The sequence below is a fragment of the Homo sapiens genome, chromosome X, assembly GCF_000001405.40.
Source record: "Homo sapiens chromosome X, GRCh38.p14 Primary Assembly".
NCBI classification, from domain to species: domain Eukaryota; kingdom Metazoa; phylum Chordata; class Mammalia; order Primates; family Hominidae; genus Homo; species Homo sapiens.
Window position 1 is genome coordinate 105766929 of NC_000023.11, and position 24240 is coordinate 105791168.

The window sequence follows — 24240 nt, forward strand, 5'->3', positions numbered from 1 at the left end:
TTGTTTTACTCTTTCTCTCTTTCTGTGATTTGTAGCATACATGGAAGATCTCACAAGATATGTTGAACAAAGCAGAAGACTTATTATCGTGCTAACTCCAGACTATATTCTCAGACGGGGATGGAGTATTTTCGAACTGGAAAGCAGACTCCATAACATGCTAGTCAGTGGAGAAATCAAAGTGATTTTGATTGAGTGTACAGAATTAAAAGGGAAAGTGAATTGCCAGGAAGTGGAATCACTAAAGCGTAGCATCAAACTTCTGTCCCTGATCAAGTGGAAGGGATCCAAAAGCAGCAAATTAAATTCTAAGTTTTGGAAGCACTTAGTATATGAAATGCCCATCAAGAAAAAAGAAATGCTACCTCGGTGCCATGTTCTGGACTCCGCAGAACAAGGACTTTTTGGAGAACTCCAGCCTATACCCTCTATTGCCATGACCAGTACTTCAGCCACTCTGGTGTCATCTCAGGCTGATCTCCCTGAATTCCACCCTTCAGATTCAATGCAAATCAGGCACTGTTGCAGAGGTTATAAACATGAGATACCAGCCACGACCTTGCCAGTACCTTCCTTAGGCAACCACCATACTTATTGTAACCTGCCTCTGACGCTACTCAACGGACAGCTACCCCTTAATAACACCCTGAAAGATACCCAGGAATTTCACAGGAACAGTTCTTTGCTGCCTTTATCCTCCAAAGAGCTTAGCTTTACCAGTGATATTTGGTAGTGAAAAATCTGAATTCCTCTGAACAGCTAGATAAGCATAGAGAATTTCTGTTATACCAAGCATAAAGTACACCTAATAACGTTGTGTTAAAAAAGTGTTTGAAGAAAAAGGTACAAAAATGGCTTTTATACTTAAATATTTTTGTTTACATTTCCAGAATAGTGGGGGGAAAGAAGGACCTGCTTTTGTAGTATGGCACCTTGTTCCAATGTACAGTTTTGATTTCTTCCTGAAAACAAAAATTTTAAAATCCTGTTGTCTTAGAGTAGCTTTTATGATAGCACATGGACTGCATGCTTAGTAGGTGAGCTGTCTTGCCCATATTTAAAAAGATTTCAGTATTCACATGGTATTTGAAATAAAGAAAATTTAAAGACTTTAATTGAATTTGAAAATTCTGAACCAAGTTTAAGGGAAAAAATGACTTCTATAGAGTTCTGAAAACTCAGGAATTATCAAGAAAGAAATGTTGATGCACTCCAGTTAGAAGACTGTTTGTAGAGGAAGATCAGTTGAGAAAAAATGAGAACTTCTTCAACATAATGGACACTTTCTGTAGACTAAATCAACAGCTCATAATAACAGCTTTTAGTTTTATTAGAGAATCACATCTTCTGTAGGCAAACTGGTAGATAGGTAAACAATATGCATTTCTTACGCAAATGAATAGACAGGCTGTGAGTTCTTTTAGGATGATTTTGAACAGCCCTTGTGGCTTTCTAATTCCAAAAGTTTTACAACTTTGAAAACACATTTTGAAGTACACATTTCATTGTTTGCTAACAAATTCACATTTGGAATTTTTCCTTGACCTGCTATAAGTATTATATGAAGATATGGACATCGTCCTGCTTTTTTTCAACATCGTTGACATTTGAATTTAAATACATAGACTGCAAGTGTCAGCAATTGGAAAGAAGTACTGCAACAATATTCGCAGATGAAGTGCTAAATGATTTATGTTTACTAGTGGTAGAGCAGCAATTGCACAGTTTCTCACCGGCAATGTAGTTATAAAACAGACTATTCTGTATATATAGTATATGGCCATCTGTGCAAGGCTCCTGCACAAGTATGTCTACTCCTGGTGCTTCGAAGAGTATATATTTGATAGGCTAAACTTCTCCATCATCACATAGTGACTGTGACTGTACCATGCCAGAAAATCCTTGTAAATAATCTAAGTAAGTATTGCCTATTTGCTGTAAGGAATGTGCTCCTATTCTAGTATTTATTATGGATTACTACTTTATGTTCTTTCCAATTAATCAAATTAGATGTGCTCTCCACCTAGATGCCTGTGAGGATCATTTGTTAATCAAGGTCAATTTTGGCATTTTGCAATAGTTCTTAAATCATGTTCTTGGACAAACATAAAACAAGGACAAATGTACACAGTGTGTAAAAATGAATAATTTGCCCACCCCTTGTAATTGTGAATCTCAAATGTATAAGAGAACACCAGATAATATGCTTTATTTCTTTCGATCTTTTTTCATTATTGATTTTCTGTGATCCACGAGTTTTGTTCAAAGTACTTGTTTCTCTGTTGCTTTTCTGTATCCAGCCATTCAGAAAATGCATTCTGCACCAACAGTAGGTGAAAGCTTAGCAGTGCTACATGTTCATTTCACAGCGGGACAATTAGTTGCTCCTTTGAAAAGTCCTGTTCAACACATGTCGGTGTTTTATAGATGTACTTTTTCCACTGAGAAAGATAATTTTGTTCCGTAAAATCTGTAAGTAAGTCTTTCAAAATGAAAATTTATCAATTCTGAACTGTTTCCAAGTGTTATAAAGTTGTATTTACTGTGGTTGTTCTTTAATGCTATGTGTAATTACTAAGTTAAAAATCTGCATGAACTCATATACTCATGTAATATAAGTTTAAGTGACCAATTGTATTTTTTATTATATTATTTTTCACAGAAATCTAGATTAATTCAAATGAATGTTTGGTGGTATTTTTAAACTAATAGTTCTGTATTGAGCATGTAAGTTCTGAAAATATAACGTGAGTCTCTCTGCTTACTCTATTTACAATGATTAAATGTGGGTAGCAATTTGAGTTGGCTGGCCACAATGTGTCCTTTCACTACTAGTAGGTACTCAAAAACAGAGCATTCACACTTGTGCTGGGGAACTTGACAAGAAACCTTTTCTACAAAATTTTCAGGAACGAATGTGTACACTATCTATAAAAATTTGTTTCTAGATGGCAATTCAAAATTTAATTTTCATCTCAGATTTTTAAAAGATATAGCCCATAAGGGTATAATAAGTATTTAGTCTAGAACATGAAGTATTTTCCTAGTTGTATTCACAGAGGGGAAAAACATTTCTTCTCAATTTTTCACTGAAATTTATTTTGGAAATCTAGAAAAACACTGGTAGAACTAGTTATCATATATCGATGATAACAAATTTATTGTTATGTTATTGTATGCAAGAATGTATACTTTTTAAAACAGGTTATTTTTAAGGCGAAACATTCGGAAAATATAAGAAATGATGAGACAAATGAGAAATGTACAAAACCATAGACAAATAGGAAATTAAAATTGCATGAGAACAAACAATGCTCAAGGATATGGGCAATGTGTACATGGGTTTAATTAGGCAAAATATGAAATATGGCGGGATTGATAATCTATGGGCTCCAATATAACTATGGAAACTCTAAAAAGTGGCTGGATGGTACCTGAAAAGAAGATGTCTGTCCTCACTGCCTCTAAGCTTTAATTGAATTAGTTCTAAATCTGGTCCACTTTCAATCACTCATTCAAAAATATGAGTACAGATTTGCAGGTTTCTGGTAAGGCTTGAACCAAAAATAGCATCATGTGAGAGGTTGATATTTTGTCTGAGGATTGATGGTTAACATGGTAGGGCATTGGAGGAAACAGTGCAATCAGAGGGTGAAACAGAGTTCAGTTATGAAAGAGAAGTTTATAGAGGTGTCCAAGAGGACATGGGAATGAGTAGTATCCTGGGGATAACTTCCACAACAGGTTGGAGAATGGTAAGTGTGAGAAGGAAAAAAAATTCTTGCAGGAAAGAGAAGGAGAGTCTTTGACCCATGTAATATTTGAAGGGCTTACGGGAGTATGAAACCACTGCTATAAAGCATTTACTGCCATTTGACATTTTGTTTTTAAATAAATTGGTTGGTTTTTACCAAGTATTTTCTAGAAAATTGAGTAATGGCCAAGGGAAATATCCTGAAAATTACACATATAAATCTTTACACTCCTGATATTCATTTCCCAAGTTGAGGTAGTGTGCTGATAAAACCAGATTCAAGACAGAAAATAGTTCCATAGTGACCAGTTAAGTTTGAACACTTGCAATTGTTGTTGCTCTTTTCTAGGACAGAATTTGATGTTGAAAATGGTCTGGCTTCAATTTCTCTATTACTCATGCATTTTTGTTCTGCTATGTCTGATAGGAGATCACAGTGTTGAGCATTAAGGCTTTCTGATGAATGTATGGAGTAGTTTGATAAACAATAATCATTCACTTCAAACTCTTACATCAAACTTGTCTTGGTTTAGAACTGGATTCAGCCACAGGAAATGTACGCTTATTCAGCAGTCCATTTAATTACTGTGAGATCAGAACTTGTAAAGTCACCTACACTCATCTAACTTGTCTTTCCAAATGCTCACTGCTGTTTGCTCAACATTTTCTCCAAATGGTATTAAAGTAAATCAGCATTTATTGAGTGCCCACTGTGAACTGGCCACTGCATAAAGTATAATAGAAATCCTTTAAAAAATTGAAGTCCCTGTGCTCAAGCAGTTTACACATCATATACATGAAGGAAGTGGGGGGTATTTATAAAACACATTTAAGTGTAGGAAAATTAATAAGTGAGGTGGGGCAATTCAGTGCCGACTGGAGCAAGATAAAAGTTTGGAATAGATCCAACAGTGGTGAAGAATAGGAATTTCTCAAGTGCAGAGAATAGCACATGAGAAGAAAGATTCAACAAAGAATAAGACGGTCTTATTTAGCTGATAGCAAGCACATTTGGTTGGCAAGAGCAGACTCTGTGTGAGGACATAATAAGAAATAAGAGCCAGGTGCAGTGGCTCATGCCTGAAATCCCAACACTTTGGGAGGCCGAGGTGGGCTGATCACTTGAGTCCAGGAGTTTGCGAACAGCCTGGGCAACATGGCAAAACCCTGTCTCCACCAAAAAAAATACAAAAATTAGCCAGGAGTGGTGGTGTGTGCTTGTAGTCTCAGCTACCCAGGAGGCAGAAGTGGGAGAATTACTTGAGCTTGGGAGGCAGAGGTTACAGTGAGCTGAGATCGTGCCACTGCACTCCAGCCTGTGCAACAGAGCAAGACCCTGTTGAGAGAAAGAGAGAGAGAACTAAGGCTGAGAAATGTGGTGAAGCATTCATCTGATAATAGATGCAGGAAAAAGTAGATAAGGGGAGATAATGGAGACAGGGAGACCAGCTAAGATGCTGTTATCATAGTTCAGGTGTGAGGTAAGAAATGATGTAGCTAGGGTGGTGACCTGGATACTCAGAAAAAGGCAGATCTGAGGAGGGAGAGAAATAGGCAGGATGTGGGATTTGATGAACATAGTCTCTGTTACTAAGATGCTGAGCAATTGTTTTCCATAACACCAGAAGATGAAACACAATTTAGGCAGGAAAGTTGTAGGAAAGAGGGCCTTTACGTCTTCTTTCTTTCTTTTCTTTTCTTTCTTTTTTTTTTTTTTTTTGAAACGGAGTCTCACTCTGTGGCATGTGGCACAGGCTGGAGTGCAGTGGCGTGATCTCAGCTCACTGCAGCCTCCACCTCCTGGGTTCAAGTGATTCTCCTGCCTCAGCCTCCTGAGTAGCTGGGATTACAGGCGCGTGCCACAACGCCCGGCTAATTTTTGTATTTTTAGTAGAGACGGGGTTTCACCAAGTTGGTGAGGCTGCTCTCGAACTCTTGACCTCGTGATCCTGTCAGCCTCGGACTCCCAAAGTGCTGGGATTACAGGTCTGCACCACCGGCCCAGCCCCCTTTACTTTCTGAGATAGAAAATGCCAGAATAGTTGAAGAGTTGCTGAAGACCAGTGGTCTCATCTTACTCCTTACTATAGTCCAAGTGTCCGTAATAGTCCTGGTCACAGAGTAGGTGCTCACATCTCATTTGTGGATTAAATGGACAAGTGGATTTGGGAGCACGGTCAAGTTTAAATTCCTACAATCCTTAAAAAATATGAGAGTTTATTTTTTCCATTTGCTTCTTTCAGCAAGCAACTTTTTTATTGTTTGCAACATTTTAAAAAGAAAGAAAATAGTGTATTAGATTATCTATCTACATCCTGTCTAGGTCTAGCATTTTAGGATTCTAAGTCAATTTGTGGTTGGAGATAAAAGTTTCCTAAGCATTCTGCCAGTCACACAAATCATTCTTCTTCAGAGCATTTATACAATTTAGTTCCTTGAGGCCACCCAACATAGTTCATTGCTCCTAACCACATAGTGATTTTTCTTAAATACATACTTTATATGCTGACATTGCCAATAAAAACATTGCCTTTTTTTTTTCAAAAGGTAATTTATGCCTGTAATTATCATATCGGGTCAAAGAATAGGGATTAGATTAACCTACTTTACTGGGCACAGTAGCAATTCCACCAATGAATTCAGGATGCAGAGATATCTGAGTTTCTGTCCTCCTCTGATGTATTTTCTAAGCATCCAAAAGCTTGAGAGTCCTTAACTTTCTTGATAGAGTGGCAAAATACCTAGAAAAGATTAAAATGTCATCTATTTTTATGTGGGGCAAAATAGCCTTTCTGTGCCTCCATTTCCTCATTTGTAAAATGTGTATACCAATAATACACAGGAGTGTGAACACTGTAAGTTAATGTATGTAAAAAGTGCTTAGAACACTGTTGGCACAGAGTAAGAGCTATGTAAGAATTATTGTTACAATTATTATTTTACACAAAAATGTCACTGCTGACCTACTGTCCACAGGAAATACATTTTATTTTACTTTCCAACTGGTAGAGATTGGTTGTTAGGTTTCTTGCATGACTGCCTGTATGACCAAGGACACTCATTTTCCAAGACAGCTGGCTGAGGTTAGAGGTGCATTTTGTGGCCATGGAACAGATCACAACTAACTGCCCCCATTCAAGGAACAAACCTACAGTAACTTTAACCTCATTAGTAATGTGTTCTGAGCTAGACAAAAACCAGGACTCTCAGGACATGGATTATTCAGATTTGTTGTCCATGTTAATCAAAGTCCCCAGATGATTGCTTGATACTCTGCTTCACTTTAGCTAGGTTTACATAAGACCAAAACATCTGGATGAGAAGTGAAAAAATACAGATGTTTAAGCCACATGATGGGAAACATCCAGATGTCTCAAATTTGGATTTGTCATTTTGTTCTTTGTTTTAAAGGAAAGAGAAGCCAAAAGAAAAAAAAACCCACCATAGTTTCTCTTTTTCCTTGACCTGGGTAAAATCAAACTGGTTTCTTGTTATAGAAGTTTAAAATGCCTACAAGTTGATTAGGAAGCTTTTTGATAATATCACTAGATAAGCTGCATTTCAGGAGGAGTTTTTTTTTTAATTTAAAGAAGCGTCTGATCTTTGAGTAGCGCTTGTGAGAGGGGATTGCTTTTAGAGTGAGACAATATCTTGGAAGAGTTGCTCACAATGAATTCTCTGGGAAAGTATGGCTGGGATGATACCAACAGTAAAAGAAAGTTTGCTAAAGAAACTCCTCAGAAATATTGCTTATTTCCTAAGAGGATATGACCTCAATTAAATGTATAAGGAGTTAAATCTGAAATAATACATGTAAATCTCTTTTTATGTTTATGAAATATTTGCTACCTGCAAACCAACAGAGAGAGTTAATAATAGGAATACACAAAATCGGTAGCCTTTTATGGAGCACATTTTGAAGGAAATCAAAATTCATGAGGAAGGCAGTCCCCAAAATGCCTATCACCAGTGTACTAAAATCATATTAACTAGGTTAAATCATGATGTCCCCATGGAGTTGCCACAATCTAGCCTTTATGATTCCACCAAACTACTCTATCAGGAAGGGAAGCACATTTTCTAGATAACACATTAATGTAGATATTAACTCATGCAATTTTAGAAATGAATGGGAACTTCAAGGCCATCTATTTCAATTCCTTCATTTTACTTTAGGAAACCTGAGGCCCAGAGACCAAGTGACTTGATCAAATACCAGATGGTGACATGGAGTACAGAAACCTACAATTATGAAGCAATTCGTGGTTATGTCTTGATAAAGGTAGAAGGAGATAGAAACAGAAAGTAGGAGGGATTCAAAAATTCAAAAACACACTTGGCACATGGGGAATGTTAGGAATATGCTGAGGTTAGGAGCAGAAGTTAGGCAGGCACCAAGAGGAGTCGTAGGCATCCTAATTAAGCTTCATCTCTGAATAATTTTGTTAATATATGCAACATTTTAACACAAATAGCAACTGTTTGTGATTGCCCCATCTTCCACAGTGGTTAAAAATCATTGAGTATAGTGTTCTTTGGGACCTGGATAAGCTCATTTGACAGATAAAAATATAAAGGTTTAGGCTTTTTCCCAAAGCCTCAAATAAAGCGTCAAAAACTAAGCTCAGGTTTGGGGAGTTGGTTTTGATTATCAGCTATTACTCAATTGCACAAGCACATGCCAAGCAAAACTACCTTCAGATCAAAGTGAGTCTTTCCAGGTCTCTGTCACTGTCTTTGGCAAGGGTATGTGGAGAAAATACAAATCAACTGTTCTCAAATGCTTCAAAAGGCATGGATAAAAATAAATGAGGAAAATATTCAGCACACCTGGGTTTCCCCAAGTAGAAAAAAAACAAAGAAGAATTTTCTACTCAGAGTCCTCTGGTCTTCTCAAAAGTGCTCCTAGGTAATAAAGAGAAGCCTAAATTAGGATGTATCTTTTTTTTAATATTAGGACCAAAATTCATGTAATAGGTTGCTGATTACAATTATGACATGATGAGCATTTTCTTAACACAGTGGAAATCTACCTAGAAATAAAAGTGTGTGCATTAAAGAGAAATATAGAATATCGCTATAGAATTCAAAGCTCAGCCATTGCACCATAACCAACCATTTATCATTTCAATTTAAAAACAGTAATGCTGCCAGTGGAAACAGAAAACAAGTTGTCAGCATTTTTTTCTTGAACACGATGGAACCACAAAGCCATAGGCCAGGCAGTAAAATTTGTTTAAAAAGCTCAATGTTTCAAGACAAGCCAGATTATTATGAGAGATATACTGTAAACTATTCATCTAATTTATTTTGCACTGATGCCAATTCACATGAAATTAGCTTTCTCGGTTTGAAAGATTTCTTTTTCTTTCTTTCTTTTCCTGTCCTCTAATGTGCACAAACCCAGTTCTGAGCCACGTAGTGGAGGATGAGGGTCATTGATCTCCCTCTTTACTTTTCAATTTCAGCCACAATCGAAAGATAATTAAAAATGGTAAAGCCAGGGCTTGAATTTATTTCTTCATCCATGAAAGTTCTTTAAACTTTTTCTCTCCTTCTTCACCATTGGTTTCCTTTACTCTCTTAAAACATGGAATGTTAGATTTGGAAGGGCTCTGAAAGATCATCTAGTCCTCTTAAAGGTGGGGAAACTGAGACTCAGAAATATTAAGTCATATTAGTGACAGCCGAAACTAGAATCCAGGATTCCATACTCTTTCCACTATCTTCATCTTCATCATAGACTGGATTTTTTTTTTTTTTTTTTTTTAGACAGGGTCTCCCTCTGTCACCAAGGCTAGATTGCAATGGCAAGATTATGGCTCACATAATTTTGCGTATTCCTATAGTTAACTTTCTGTGTTGGTTTGCAGGTAGCAAATATTTCATAAACATAAAAAGAGATTTACATGTATTATTTCAGATTTAACTCCTTGTACATTTAATTGAGGTCATATCCTCTTAGGAAATAAAAGTTCAGACCTCTGTCACCAAGACTAGCATGCAATGGGAAAAGTATGGCTCGCTCACTGCAGCCTCGACCTCCTGGGCTCAAGCGATCCTCCAGCCTCAGCCACCTGAGTAGATGGGGCTACAGGTGCATGCCTTCATGCCAGGCTAATTTTTTTGCATTAGCCTATACTTTTTTGTAAAGACAAGGTTTCACCATGTTTCCCAGGCTGGTCTCGATCTCCTGAGCTCAAGCAATCTGCCTGCCTTGGCCTCCCAAAGTGTTGGGAATTCAGGTGGGAGCCACCGGGCCTGGCCAGACTCAATTCTTAAAGTGTTCGTCCATCCATCTACCTTTTCAGGTGGAGGGCAGACAATGTCTTGCCAATTCATAAAATGTTAAATCCTTTCAAACATCTTTATGTCACATAGATCTATCTGCAAGGTCCCAAACCCTTAACCAAATACACTACATATGCAAAGGGAGTAGAATCAATTGTGAAATCTCTTCCTGCGTAATCATCATCATTTGCAGGAGAGAAGATATATTAGTCTGTAATATGGGAGCTTAACTCACCCTTAAATTTGGTCTGCTAGCTAAAGCAAGTTGGAGACATTTTTGAATTCTACTATTCTGACTAAGATGAGTGTTTGGATATGAGAGGTGCTTTGAGCACCAACTCTACAGCCAGACTTCCTGAATTCAAATTCTGCACTTATTTTTACTGTCTATTTCACTTTGGGTAAATTACTTAAAGCTCTCAGTGTCTCAGTTTTCTCAGTGGTAAAATAGGGATAAGGAAGATGAGGATAACAGTAGCATCTACTTCATAGGATTATTAAGAAGATTAAGTACATAAAGTGCTCAGAAGAGAGCCTTGTATATATAGTAGATGCTGTGAAAGTGTCAGCTATTATTTGTATTCTCTGCTGTATAGAGGAAAAAAAAGTTGGCTCAACAAATTAATGCCCAACATTGAGCATTACAAAGACAGTTTTAAAGGATGTTAACCACGAAATGTATACAAGGAAGGGTGCTGCTCGTCATGCCTATTCATCATAGCTGGTCAAGCATGTTTTTTCCTTGAAAACATCATCACAGTCTTTATTCCAATTAATATTTTTATATTAAAGAACATTCTCTTTCAAATTAGAATGTGATTCAGACTTTTCACTAATTCAGTAAATAGACCCTCCAACTTCTCAGAATTATTAGTGAGTTGTGACTGTACCTCAGCACTCACCTGTCCCCCAAAATAATAGCAACCCTATATATTTTAAAGAAATAAGTAGTTTTTCAACCTGCCAAGCTCCCTGAATTTTCCACTCAGAAAGAATTTATCAGATCTGAAAGGCCAAAATAATAAAGAGGAAGTTTACCAGGTTAACAAGCCATCATATAGTTCTGGTTTAAAGGCAATTACAAGTTGAAATGAGTCAACAGTGTGATGTAGCTGCCTAGAAAGCAAATGCAGTGTTAGAACAGAGCAATACAAGTACAATGCCCAGTTCAAGGGAGGAGCTTGGCACTAGTCAGACCACATCTGGTAGGCTGTGTTCATTTCTAGGCACCCACATTCTAATAGGAACTTTACCAGTCTAGAGAGATTTCAGAAGAAGATGGTCCAGATGGTGAAATATCTGAAATCATGCCATGGAATAAATGATTGAATGAATTGAAAATATTTTTCCTGAAAAAGAGAAAATTTAGCCAAAATGTGACGTTAAAGTAAAATTAGACATAATCAGTGTGGCCCCAAGGGGTGAACCAGGATAATGAATGAAACTCACCAAGAAGGCAAATTTAGGCTCAGGATCAGAAAGTTCTGTCTAAGGACACAAACTACCCATAAACCAAATATGCTGCCTTGAAAAACCTACACTTTGTCACTGCAAACCGTCAGAGACTGACTGGAAGAATGCAGAAAGGATTTCGAGTTTAAGTGTGAGGCTAAAATAACTGATATGTAAGAATATTTCCAATTCATATATATTATTGTAGCTCCTGACTGCTCAGATCACTGAAATTATCTATCTAGCTGTTTTGTCTTCTAATTCACCCTGACCACTACTGTCAGACCCATCTTTCTACTTGACTTTTATTTCTATCTGTTCCTCTCCTCTCTCCTTTCTCTCCCTCCTCCTCTCCCCTCTCCCTCCTCTCCTTTCTCCCCACTCCCCTCCCCCATACACATTTCATAGCTTAGGCATATATCAAGTTGATTGTGGGCCAGTCACTGTTCTAAGCACTATATGCACACATACACACTTTATATTTGACTGCATTGGGTCCAAATCTCTTTTCTTTTTGTACCTCCTGCTACCTGAATTCCTCCTTTTAGGCAACCTTATTTTGCCCAGTTCTCTAAAACGTATAAGTTCTGGTCCATCTTTTACCTGTCACATTCTTTTACTATTACAGCCCACTGTGTTTATTGTTCCTCTGCATTTGTAAACATAGAATTATCATATGTTCAGTATCTAAGTTTGTCTACTCAGTTTTCCAAATGAGAAAATATTAATGCTCCTAAAAAAGTGACTTTTCCGGCCGGGCGCGGTGGCTCACGCCTGTAATCCCAGCACTTTGGGAGGCCGAGGCGGGTGGATCATGAGGTCAGGAGATCGAGACCATCCTGGCTAACAAGGTGAAACCCCGTCTCTACTAAAAATACAAAAAATTAGCCGGGCGCGGTGGCGGGCGCCTGTAGTCCCAGCTACTCGGGAGGCTGAGGCAGGAGAATGGCGTGAACCCGGGAAGCGGAGCTTGCAGTGAGCCGAGATTGCGCCACTGCAGTCCGCAGTCCGGCCTGGGCAACAGAGCGAGACTCCGTCTCAAAAAAAAAAAAAAAAAAAAGTGACTTTTCCAAGCTAACCCAGCTGATTAATAGCAAAGTGAGAAAGAGAACTTAAATCTTTCTATTCTTGGTCTGGGTACTTTAGCGTGCAATTGCTTTGTTATCTGTTCATTTCATGTCAGGTGGATTCTAAACTTATGAATAATAATGACTTCTCCATTTTAAAAGTTTTCTTTGTGTCTTCAGAGAACTTACCACTTTATTAACCACATGGTTGCTGCTCAGTAAGCTCTTATTCATTGATTGTGTCTACTTGGAAAGTTTTACTGGGAACCCTCTCTACCAGGCACTGTTCTAGTTATTGGGGTACTGAAGTGAATAAAAAAATACAAATACATGCCCTATAGAGATTACATTCTAATGTATGGCAAATAAACTCCTAGAAGAGAAGAGCTTGTCATAAGTAGAGTTTATCTGACTTACCCTTATGTAAAACTTTCTTGCACACCCCCAAATGGACTTGAATTAAACAACACTGAACTTACCACGTGGAACCATTTTGGAAACTGCATTATTTTTCTGTGTCTTAATGTACCCATTAGAAGGGTCGTATGTCATGCTTGTGTGAATAAAAGTATGTCCTGGAAGCTTCCAGTTTTGTCCGGTCTAACAAGAATCTTGTCCAGTCTAACAAGAGTCATGTCCACTCTAACTAGATCCAAACTTAGTTGACCACCACTAAGAAGAGAATGGCCAAATTTGTCTCTCCAAAGCCACATCTGACCAATGAACTCTTTTCTTTGGCTGTATACCTTTAAATGAAAATCCAACCTCCCCACCTCTAGGAGTTAGAGATATTATTTGAAGTCACTAAAGGCCAGAAATCACTAGTTAACATGAAAATTAAAATAATCAGTAGATATTGAGTATATATTATATATTGAGCATTGTGCCAGATATGCACGATTCCAAAGTATAAGTCATGGCCCCTGCTTTTAGTAATGCTAGACAAGAAATAAAATGTAGAAGAGCAGAAAGTCTATAAAGTATAGGTGAATGGTGAATGTAGATATAAGAATACCAACTGGGAAACATAAGCACTTCATATGTAACCTCCTCCCATTAAGCCAAACCAAGCATATGTATTGCGAACAATATTGGGAAAGGAGATTACTTAAGGGCAGAAATGAGAGTTCCCAGTTGACAAAACCTGAAAATATCCCAATTCTGATATTGTGCCTCAAAGGATGAAACCCTGTTTCTGAGAATTTAGTTCTCAGTCAACCTTGAGAAGTTGAAGGAGCTCTTTTTATCCCCACTCTTCACTTCCCCCACAGACCAATGCAGACTATGGAATGTAAGTCCACAAACCACCACATCTCCACTCTTTACCTTGTGAGGAGGCCAAAAATGTTTAGCTATGTCAGTGGGTCCAATAGCCAAACCTCATATTTTTATGCATAAATAATTGAGAGTATGTGTAACACTCTGTCCTCAGGATTTTCAGTGACTGGGAGGGTGTAAATCATCTTAGAGTGCTGAATAAATGCAGATTGATAAAGAAATGTACACAGGTTTACACATATAAATTTACAGATATTAATATGCTGGAACATTTTCTCCGGCAACCTACAAATAACAACTGGACCTCAAATATTTGAAAAAGATTTATAAGTCCAGCAACAGTTCCTTTGCTGTTTCTCGTTTAGGAGCTACAACTGGTGATTTTTATGTGACTTCCAACAGCTCAGCTAGTGGTCTGTAGGTTTCAGCAGCTTGAATAAGGAGATTCAATATCAAGGTATAAGGGTTCAATCCCAAAACCAATTTTTACATTCCAGAAAGTTCTAATCTCACTTCATGAGAATCTCATTCCCTAAACAAAGATCTCACTCCCTAAACAAAGAGACATCCCTCTTAAGAGGAAAATTCTTTTTGAGTCACAGACCCTTACTTTATTATCTGAAGAGTTCCCTTAAAGCATATCTGCTTAGGTTTATATGTCATAATACTTTTGAACACACTTTTGGACTACTTTGAGAACTGCTAAAATTTATAGATCTTATTTTTCAGAAATAAATGCACACATATAAAAATGTACATAATTTTGCTCAGCTCACAATCTGAAGGGGTTTGTGTATCTTCAGAAGCCCATCTATGGGTGCCATTAAAAGTGGTCCCCAAATTAAAAGTATCTCCTTTACAGAATTTGAAAACTGAATGTAGTTAGAGGGATGCTTAGGAAAAAGGAAGGTAGGGGATATAATTTAACACTTTTAAATGAAAAAAATGTGAGCAGTCTAGAATTATGGCTGTGATAGCCCCAGACCAGTAACAAAGCAAAAAAATGATAATGTGAGGAGTTGTCACAAAGTTATGTGCTTTTTACTCTGCAAAAATAAAAGCAGAATATGCTTAAAGATATTCTTGCAGAATGTAGAAACTGTGACCCTTGGCTGCTATCATTTTTTTTCTATTTTTCTTGCCAAATAAATGTTATGAAAGAATATCTCCAGGCATTCACTCTACCCTGAGGGTTAAAAACATGTACATGATGGAAACTGGCAGAGTGCTGAAGTTGGCGGACTCATCTGCCTTGCTAAAGCTTCTAGAGACTTTCAAGGGCTCTAGGGATGAGGGAGTTGTCTTTTTTGGAGAAAATCAGGTTACAAAAAAGTGTCCAAGTCTTCAGAACAATTGAGCCATGGCAGCAGATACAAGTAAAAATAAAAAAAAATTCTTCAGTGTAGATCCCATGATCTCAGAATGCTGTATTTTACATTAAGAGCATCTACAGGAAATACTTTTGCCAGCAAAAATAATCAGGAACCTTTCTCAAATGGAGAGGCTGGGAACAAAACAGCAGAGACATTATATCTTGGGAACAGATAAATGACTGAGGCTTTGAGACAGGATTCCTTGTGGATAAAATTCTCAAAAATAATTCTATGGTAGCTGAAATCACCCTCAGATATCCCCGGGTTTCCGAGGGTCTTTTCATTATTCTCCTAATGCCAAGAAAGTCAATATTATACTGTCTTTTGTATAATTAAGTGCCTCAACAAACTTTTCTCAGTTCGTCTTATAGGCTCTGCACTTTTCTGTGCTCTAGAAACATAGCCAAGAGTAAAATTGATATGGATCTTATTCTTCAAAAACTCAAAGTCTAGTGGGGAAAATAGACATGCAAGCATGTAGTTATAATTATAATTGTTCTAAACACATTAAGAAACAGATGTATAAAATATCAGGTAGAACAGAGGAAGGAAGAAGTAAGTCAGCTTAAGGAGGTGACACTGACTTAGGATATGAAAGAGGAGTGGAAGTTTGCTAAATAGCCAAGAGTAAGAAGGGCATTCCAAGCAAAGTAGACAGAAGATAAAAACGGATCAAGAAATGAAATAACATGCATGTCTGAGGAACTACAAATGGGATATTGTTACTGGAGCATAACATGTAACAAGTTAAATGGAAAAAATTTAATCTTTCACTTAGACCCATTGATTTTCAATGGCCATGATCTGTGATACCCAAGAGAGTTATCATAAGGGAGTAGTTTGACCTAGATGAACTTCAAGGAATCTTTTAACTTGATATTGGGCTGAAAAATGGACAAGACTACTTTTCAAAAATATATGCCTTAAAGAGGTCTTTTTCTATATATTATCTCTCTAAACCCAATTTTTCTCAGAAATGCAAAATGTCAACCTCACGGCTGAAACACAGATTTCCATGAAAACAGCATGAATAGTGATTGCCTACTACCTTTTAAGGAAGCCAGGAGACTTCCTTACTAAACCAATAAGATTTTTTACATTTTTTGAGGTGAAATTTACATAAAATAAAATTAATAATTTTAAAGTGTACAACTCAGTGGCATTTTGTACATTCGCAACATTTTACAACCAACACTTTTATCTAGCTCCAAAATATTTTCAGCACCCAAAAGAAAACCACGCAACCATTAAGAAGTTACTCCTACTTCCCTCCTTCCCCAGGCTTTTGGAAACCACCAATCTGCTGTCTACATGAGTTTACCTATTCTAGATAGTTTATATAAATGGAGTCATATAGTATGTGACATTTATGACTGGCTTATTTCATTTGCATAACAATTTTGAGGGTCACAATGTGGTAGCTTCTGTCAGTATTCCATTTATTTTTATGTCTGGGTAGTATTCCATTGTATGAATATAGCACATTTTGTTTATCCACTCATCAGTTAATGGACATGTGGATTATTTCCACATTTTGGCTATTGTGAATAGTGCTGCTATGCACATTTATATACAGGTTTTGTTTGAATACTTGTTTTCAATTCTTTTAGATACATACCTAGGAGTGGAATTTCTGGGTCATATGTTAATTCTATGATCAACTTTTTGAGGGATTGTCAAACTGTCTTTCACGGTGGCTGCACCATTTTACTTTCTTACTAGAAATGTATGAAGATTCCAAATTCTTCATATCCTTGCCAACACTTGTTATTTTTAGTTTTTAAAAATTTTGATTATCCTAGTGTCTGTGAACAAGGTAGAATTTTCCACAATACAATAGAGAACATCTACTTTAAGACAACTTTTCTGGGCTATCATATCAACTTGGAAAACATTGATTTTTCTCTTCCTAGAGCTTTAAAATCCATGGACAGTTAGCAACTTGGTTAAAACTAGGATGATCAATAAGTCACAAATATAATCCTTTAAAAAAACTATGTATTTATTTATACACACACAGACACACTACACACACACACACACACACAGATATGTATCCTTAACCCAAATGTTCACAAGGAGACTAAGTGGTGAAATTGTGCAGCTCGATGATCTAACCACACTAGTAGAAAAAAAAAAAAACACTAAACTCTCATGATGACAAGTTAGAACATATTTTTCTTCAATGAGAGATGTATTTCTTCATTAACATTAAAGCTTATAGATGTTATTTGCTTTGTTTTTTTTTTTTTTTTTCGTTTTATTTTTTAGACGGAATCTCGCTCTGCTGCCCAGGCTGGAGCGCAGTGGCGCGATCTCGGCTCACTGCAAGATCTGCCTCCCGGGTTCACGCCATTCTCCTGCCTCAGCCCCCAGAGTAGCTGAGACTACAGGCACCCGCCACCACGCCCAGCTAATTTTTTGTATTTTTAGTAGAGACGAGGTTTCACCGTGTTAGCCAGGAGGGTCTCCATCTCCTGACCTCGTGATCCGCCTGTCTCGTTCTCCCAAAGTGCTGGGATTACAGGCGTGAGCCACCGCGCCCAGCCCAAAAGCTCATTTTTATGGAATATCTGAGCTTGCTAAACCCTGGGGCCAGCTCAGGATTTCTTTATCAAGTAGAGCTACAATATTTTTCCAGTGATTTCAATTCTGATCGCATCCCTGAGGGAACTAAGCTTCTTGGGTGGGGTAGAGAGCAGAGCTTTGTATGAAAATTCTAGTATTGAACAGTCTCTGGCAAACCAAAGCAGCTGGGTGAGCAGCATAGAAAAATTCATATGAACCTGGGACTGGAGTATATGAGTAGCCCTGAGTTCCAGAAAACTAGATCAGCAAGCATTTGTCCAAACTAATTATCCCAACAGATGACCCCCTTGGCAAAAAGCAGCATAAAATCCACAGGACAGACCAAAGTCTGGGCAACATTTTGTCCTTAATATATACCTAGTATAGCTGCAAATGATACTAGCAGTCAACTAGCGAAAAAATTTCCAGGTATCTAGGTCTTTCTGTGAGTCCATTTATGCAAATCAAAACTTAAGGAAGAGCTTCTTGAACAGCTAAGAATCACATAATGGAGGACTGAAGAAATTTGTAGTAAGTGGGGAGAGTATTCAGCTGTGAAGTTATTCAAGAAAAGGAAGGTAATCAACTGTTGTCATTATTGAGCCTGCCACAGATATAAGAATAAAGGTCACTCCCTGCATAGAGAAGAATGTGAGGGATGCCTGGAAAGGCCCTACCCCAGACAAAAAAAAATTATCTACCCTCTTAGTCTGCCTTGGTGTCTGAGAATTTCAATTTAAAACTAATTTTTTTCAGGTTCAGGCATTATGTCCAGAGAACTTCAAAGCCAACATATTAATAGAACCAAAGAAGGCCAGAATCAACATGATATTTTTGCTGTAGATAAATGTATTAATAATAACATTTCAAAAATATAATTGCAGTCACCATTTATGGAGCAATTACTTATGTAGAGCTCTATGTTAAATATTTTTGTTGTATTATCTCATTTAGCCTACACTAGGAGGAAGGTAATATAATTATTCCTCTCTTGCCAATTGACAGACTGAGGCTCTAAGGTAGTAAAGAACTTGGGCAAGTTTATACAACTTGCCAGTAACAAAACCAGAACTTATTATATATGTAAATTTCTTACTTAAAAAGAAAAAAATGTATAAAGCTTCAATTTTCTCACCAATGGATAGAAGGAGGAGTGAACATTGCCATCACAAAATAAATGTTTCCCATCACCAAAAACAATTCAGCATTCTTTAGAGAATTGCATATATTTAAGTAAGGAGAGTCTGCTGGAGATGGAGTTTAGTGAGAAAAATTTAGCTAAACCATTAAAAGCATTTTGAAATTAGACTACATATTCCTGAAATACAAGGAGTATGCCACAAGATATTTTGTATTAGTTTTTATTCTTCCATGATGCTGGGGTAGAAAGAAAGCTAGTGTTTTAAAAAATATTTATATGATGTTAACAGTAATATTAGACACAATTGTTAGATAGGACTAGACTTGTCTTTAAGTGACCAAAAAACCCAAAGTTGTACAGGTAGGTGTAGGTGATCCAGGATGGTATTGTACATAATAATCTCAGGAACTCAGGTTACTTTTTACCTGTTGCTCTGCTCTGTGGTTCAAAATGGCTGTTGGGGTTCCAGCCATTATAGCCTTAATATATATATCAAGAGGAAGGAACAGAAGAAGGGCACACCCTTTCTATTGAAGGACACTTTCAGAAAGTCATATGTTCCACTGCCGTATTTATCCCTGTATTACCTATTGCTGTGTAATAAAGTACTCTAAAATTAAGCAGCTTTTATGTGCATCAGGAATCTGAGCATGGCTTAGCTGCATCTTCTGTCTCACAATCTCTCACAAGGCTGCATTCAAGGTGTTGGCTGAGGCCGTGGTCTCATGTGAAGGCTTGGCTGGGGACCAGTCTGCTTCCAAGCTTACTCACGTAACAGTTGGCAGGATTCAGTTCTTTGCTTGGAGTTGCCCCCCAGTTTCTTGCCTCTGCCACCTGATATCCATTGGTCAGAACTTAATTGCCTGGTCATACCCAAATGCAAAAGAGCAAGAAAAATAAAGTCTTTATTCCAGGTGGCCATGGGCCAAGATAAAATTAATCATTTTACTATTAAGAAATAAAGGTAGTACAGAATATTGGGGAACAACTCATGGTTTCTACCAAAGACATTTTATACATTTGTCTCATCAGTTATCATCATTACCCTGTAAGGTAAATAATATTACCCCATTATACAAATTAGGATGTTGAGACTCAGTCTCTGTTAAGTAATATTTTCAGAGTTACAAAACCAATTAGATTGGATGGAGAGAAGAAAGGAGATAAGGGATGGAACAACCCTGCTGGAAGAGTGTCAATCACTCTAATCTAATCTCTATGAGGGTCAAGTGCCTCAAGCTTCCATGCAGATGATTGTGAGATCTTGCATAAATGTCAGCCATTGTATAAGTATTGTGATTTTGGCATATTATTATGTCCTAACCTAGCCAAAAAAGAACTGAGAAACCAAAGAGATTCTACAAGCTGCTAATTGACTGGTAGAATATCAGATGGATTGTAAATTTGAGAGTAGCATACGTGACTTACTTTTTTATTCCCAAATGTACAGTGATAGTATGCATCCCAATTGCCTTGGGGTGGAACGGGGTTTATTCTCTATAAGCTGATCAGGATATTTAAACTGACACATTGACAATTTGCACAGACAAATGCAATGAGAAGGAAATAAATGTCTATCGATGAAATACCTATGACCTTGATTAACTAAACAGCTGCCCTAAAAGACTCAGCAGAGTGGGCATCTGGGAAAAGAGAAAAATGATTTCGGTACATGAGTCTTGTCCTGTAAAATGTTAGAGTCATCTTTGTAACCAAATAGCAAAAACTAGTACTTAAAATTGGTTTTCACAAAGAAAGTGAAATTATAGTTCTCTAATGAGATCAAATTCCCAGATCCTTTTCTAAACTAACTAACCCCTTGCCACCTAGATGCTTCAAACCACTCTGGTCTCTTAAGGTTCCTGGTTCAAACTTTCATTTCCTTTTGCCTCCCAGATCCCATTGTGACACCCTGCATAGTTCTATCTTGATATTTTCTCCATTCTCTGACTTATTTTATCTACCTTTCCTTTGCCTTATCTTCCTCCCATTCTTTTTTTTCCTCTGCATGACCCTCCTATGACAGTAGGGAACACATCACATCTAGTGACAGAAGGAAGGAAAAATGAAAAAAACCTCACTCATGTTACTTTTACCCCCATATCAAGTCCATTCAACCTAAAATGTGTCCATTGTTGTACCCAGTGAGCATGGTCTGGGGCCTAAATGATTCCTCAGTTCTGGTTAAACCTGACAGGATCCTTTTTAGAGAATAAAGGTCTCTGGAAATTCCTTGGGACATTTTAAAGGGGAAAAATTTTAAAGCCCCCTAATCAATCTGCCTATATACTCCTGCATGTTAAGTTTCCCATCTCCACTTAGTTGTTTGCAGAAGCCCTCAAATTTATCTTTGAAAGCTGGATTGACATATAAATTTCTAACGTTTATAAGCATCACAGAAAAATGTTTATAATTGGGCTACAATGTAAGAAGTCTTAGCTTTGCCTATAACTTCTATGACATGTTCTTTACTCTTTGCCCCACATTAGTAATAAGACTATGTTTTTAGTAGAATTTTGACAGCTCCTTAATTCTGGCAGAGCATAGGTGAGGGTTCTAAAAGACAAGAAATCTTGAGTATATACAGGGTACTTGGAAAACAATATAACTAAGACATGAAAACCTCACTTCTGAATTATAATTACAGGTGAGGTAATATCAGCAAATTTATGTGCCTGTCAAGCATTTTAAAACTAAACCTTGAAAGATAATTAATATTTTAAGGCCCACATATGGAAAGCCCCAAGCTTTGTTGTAGCTAAGTCCCACTTTGCTAGGAAATGGCCTATCAACTCTGCCTAAATGCATTAAAATATCAAGAGCTATTCAAAGCCAACAGAAATGTCAGCATGTCGAGAAAAGGTTATCAGAAGTTCCAATGCATTTATTTGGAAGCTTTCCATAGGGGTGCACCGTAGTTCCTATAATCTTAACCAAAGAACTGTCAAAGTCAGCTTCTTCCAACAAGTGTGCAGTTCACAAGTGACTCACAAGGAAGACTTAACAACGCTGCAGATTCCAGTGTAAATTTACTTGCCTTTGTAGTCATCATTATAACCAAAACATAAATTCCAGACAAAGGTAATTAGGAGAACTTGCCATTTTGAAAAGATGGGATTTGATAAGTAGGACAAAGTAGATGTTCTACTTAGACAAAGTTTTCTTTGTGCTTTTAATAGTCACCTATAATGGGACCAGTGTACGCTGTATTAAGTACCTACTATGTTTCAAGCACTGTGCATGGCTTTTCATATATCATCTTATTTAATTCTCTTAATACTCCTGTTAGGCAGATATTATCTTTGTTTTATGGGAGAAGAAACTAAGGCCCACAGACATTAAATCTCTGGTTCAGTGATAATACACAGCTATAAAGTGACAGAATTCAGATTCAAATCCAAGACAGCCTGACTACAGAACCAATGCTCACACTGAGAAATTCTCAGCCAAAAAGAAAGAACCATGAAGTTTTTCTCTAGCCTCTTGAGAAAGAGAGAGACAGAGACAGAGGAAGGAGACTGAAAGACTTACTTTTAGAATAATATTTGTGTGATTCTCAATAGCAAAGATTTGGAACCAACCCAAGTGTCCATCAATGATAGACTGGATTAAGAAAATGTGATACATATATACCATGGAATACTATGCAGCCATAAAAAAGATGAGTTCATGTCCTTTGCAGGGACATGGATGAAGGTGGAAACCATCATTCTCAGCAAACTATCACAAGGACAGAAAACCAAACACTGCATGTTCCCACTCATAGGTGGGAATTGAACAATGAGAACACTTGGTCACAGGGTGGGGAACATCATACACCGGGGCCTGTCATGGGGTGGGGGGCTGGGGGAGGGATAGCATTAGGAGAAATACGTAATGTAAATGACGAGTTAATGGGTGCAGCAAACCAACATGACACATGTATACCTATGTAACAAATCTGCACGTTGTGCACGTGTACTCTAGAGCTTAAAGTATAATAATAAAATAAAATAAAAAAAGAGTGAGCAGTAAAGACTCAAGGAAAAAAAATTTTATGTGATTCTTTATTACAAAATGCTTTTAAATACATTCTCTTTTAATTCCCACAATAACCCATGAGTCAAGTGATATAATTACCAACAATAAACTCAAAGCTAAATAGAAAATCCTTTAGAAGTTAGTTATTTCTAGAATGTCCATGTCCTTTTCTCTTTCCATTATATTACATTCTATTTCTTGTAAAAAGTACCCCTCCCAGTTAGCACTCTGTTTTTCAACTTGCTTCTTCCCCTTTTTGACCACTTACTCTCATTTATCAACCGTCATTAAAAGTGCCACCCAAGAAGCTTTGGAAGGAGACTGCCATGACCTGAAAGGTGAGAAATTGGAAACTACAATGTAAGCCTCATTATTGTAAAGTCTATTGATTAGGGGGAAAATGTTAACCTTTGAACAGAGGTAGTTAAGCTCTCCTATAGCTTTTCACTTCAGTGAATTAAGAGACTAGCAGACAGATCAAATTTCTTTTGTTTGAGACGAAAAGAAAAAATTAAGAATCACTATTAGTCCATGAATGCTTTTTAAAATGTCCAAAAGGTAGCTTTCTAAAACAGAGTAAAATAAGTTTTCTCAGTTTCTATCTGAGTGCCTTAACCTATCCATAAACAAATTCCAACCTCATCTTCCTATACAAAATTAGAAACCATTTGGGGAGATTTAAATGGCCTTCAGGTGAGAATCCAACTGAGTTTTTTGAGAAGAGGGAGAAAAAATCTAGCAGTAAAGACCCCCAACATGGTTTTCAAAATGAGAATAGAGGAAAAAAATGTCAAGTAAGAACAGCAACATCAATAATGTAGAAGCCATTGAGATGGGCAATTTTTAATGCAATATTTTTCCAGACAAACAGAATTAGCCTATTTGGGTGTGATTTGAATTAGAATGAATTGACAAAATTATTAGAATTATCCAACCTGGGTTTCCAGTTTGCTCCCCAAACCCCAGAAATATTCAATATATTTTACTCCTCCAGTTTTTACTGTTAAAAATTTCCTTATCCTATGCTCCATTCCTTTAAGTGGCCTGTTTTCTATGAGATATAATCTGATAAATTCAGTTAAGCTAGAGAATTAAAGTCTCAGGATGGTTTATTAACCCCCAGGTATATTTTAGCAAAAGATTTCAAAAAAGACTTAATCCAAAGGATTTAAAGATAATCTGTTGGTGGGAATTTCAGAAACTGGCCCAGGCCGACTAGAGAAAAATTGGGGTCAGGGAGGGATTCCACACCTTTCAGTTCACATTATAGAGGCCTATACATGTGATGTTCCTGCT

The 24240-nt window shown here is 37.2% G+C and overlaps 1 protein-coding gene and 1 long non-coding RNA gene across 5 annotated transcripts in view; one reads left to right on the top strand and one right to left on the bottom strand.

Annotated features, from left to right (window-relative positions):
- The window catches only part of IL1RAPL2 (interleukin 1 receptor accessory protein like 2), a 1201631-nt gene extending 1200730 nt beyond the window's left edge, over positions 1 to 901 (top strand). For both annotated transcript variants that reach the window (NM_017416.2, XM_011530905.3), the window contains one exon: positions 36 to 901. In NM_017416.2, coding sequence (NP_059112.1) covers positions 36 to 733 — 698 coding nt within the window. In that variant the 3' untranslated portion in view covers positions 734 to 901. The remainder of the gene's footprint in view (positions 1 to 35) is intronic.
- Positions 1 to 24240, bottom strand: part of LOC105373303 (uncharacterized) — a 135721-nt gene that overhangs the window by 105297 nt on the left and 6184 nt on the right. The window contains exon 1 of one of the 3 annotated variants that reach the window (XR_938493.3): positions 6360 to 6715. This is a non-coding gene — a long non-coding RNA (uncharacterized LOC105373303). Of the gene's footprint in view, positions 1 to 6359; positions 6716 to 24240 lie in introns of those variants that run through there. The other 2 variants (XR_007068300.1, XR_007068299.1) reach the window with 2 other exon arrangements.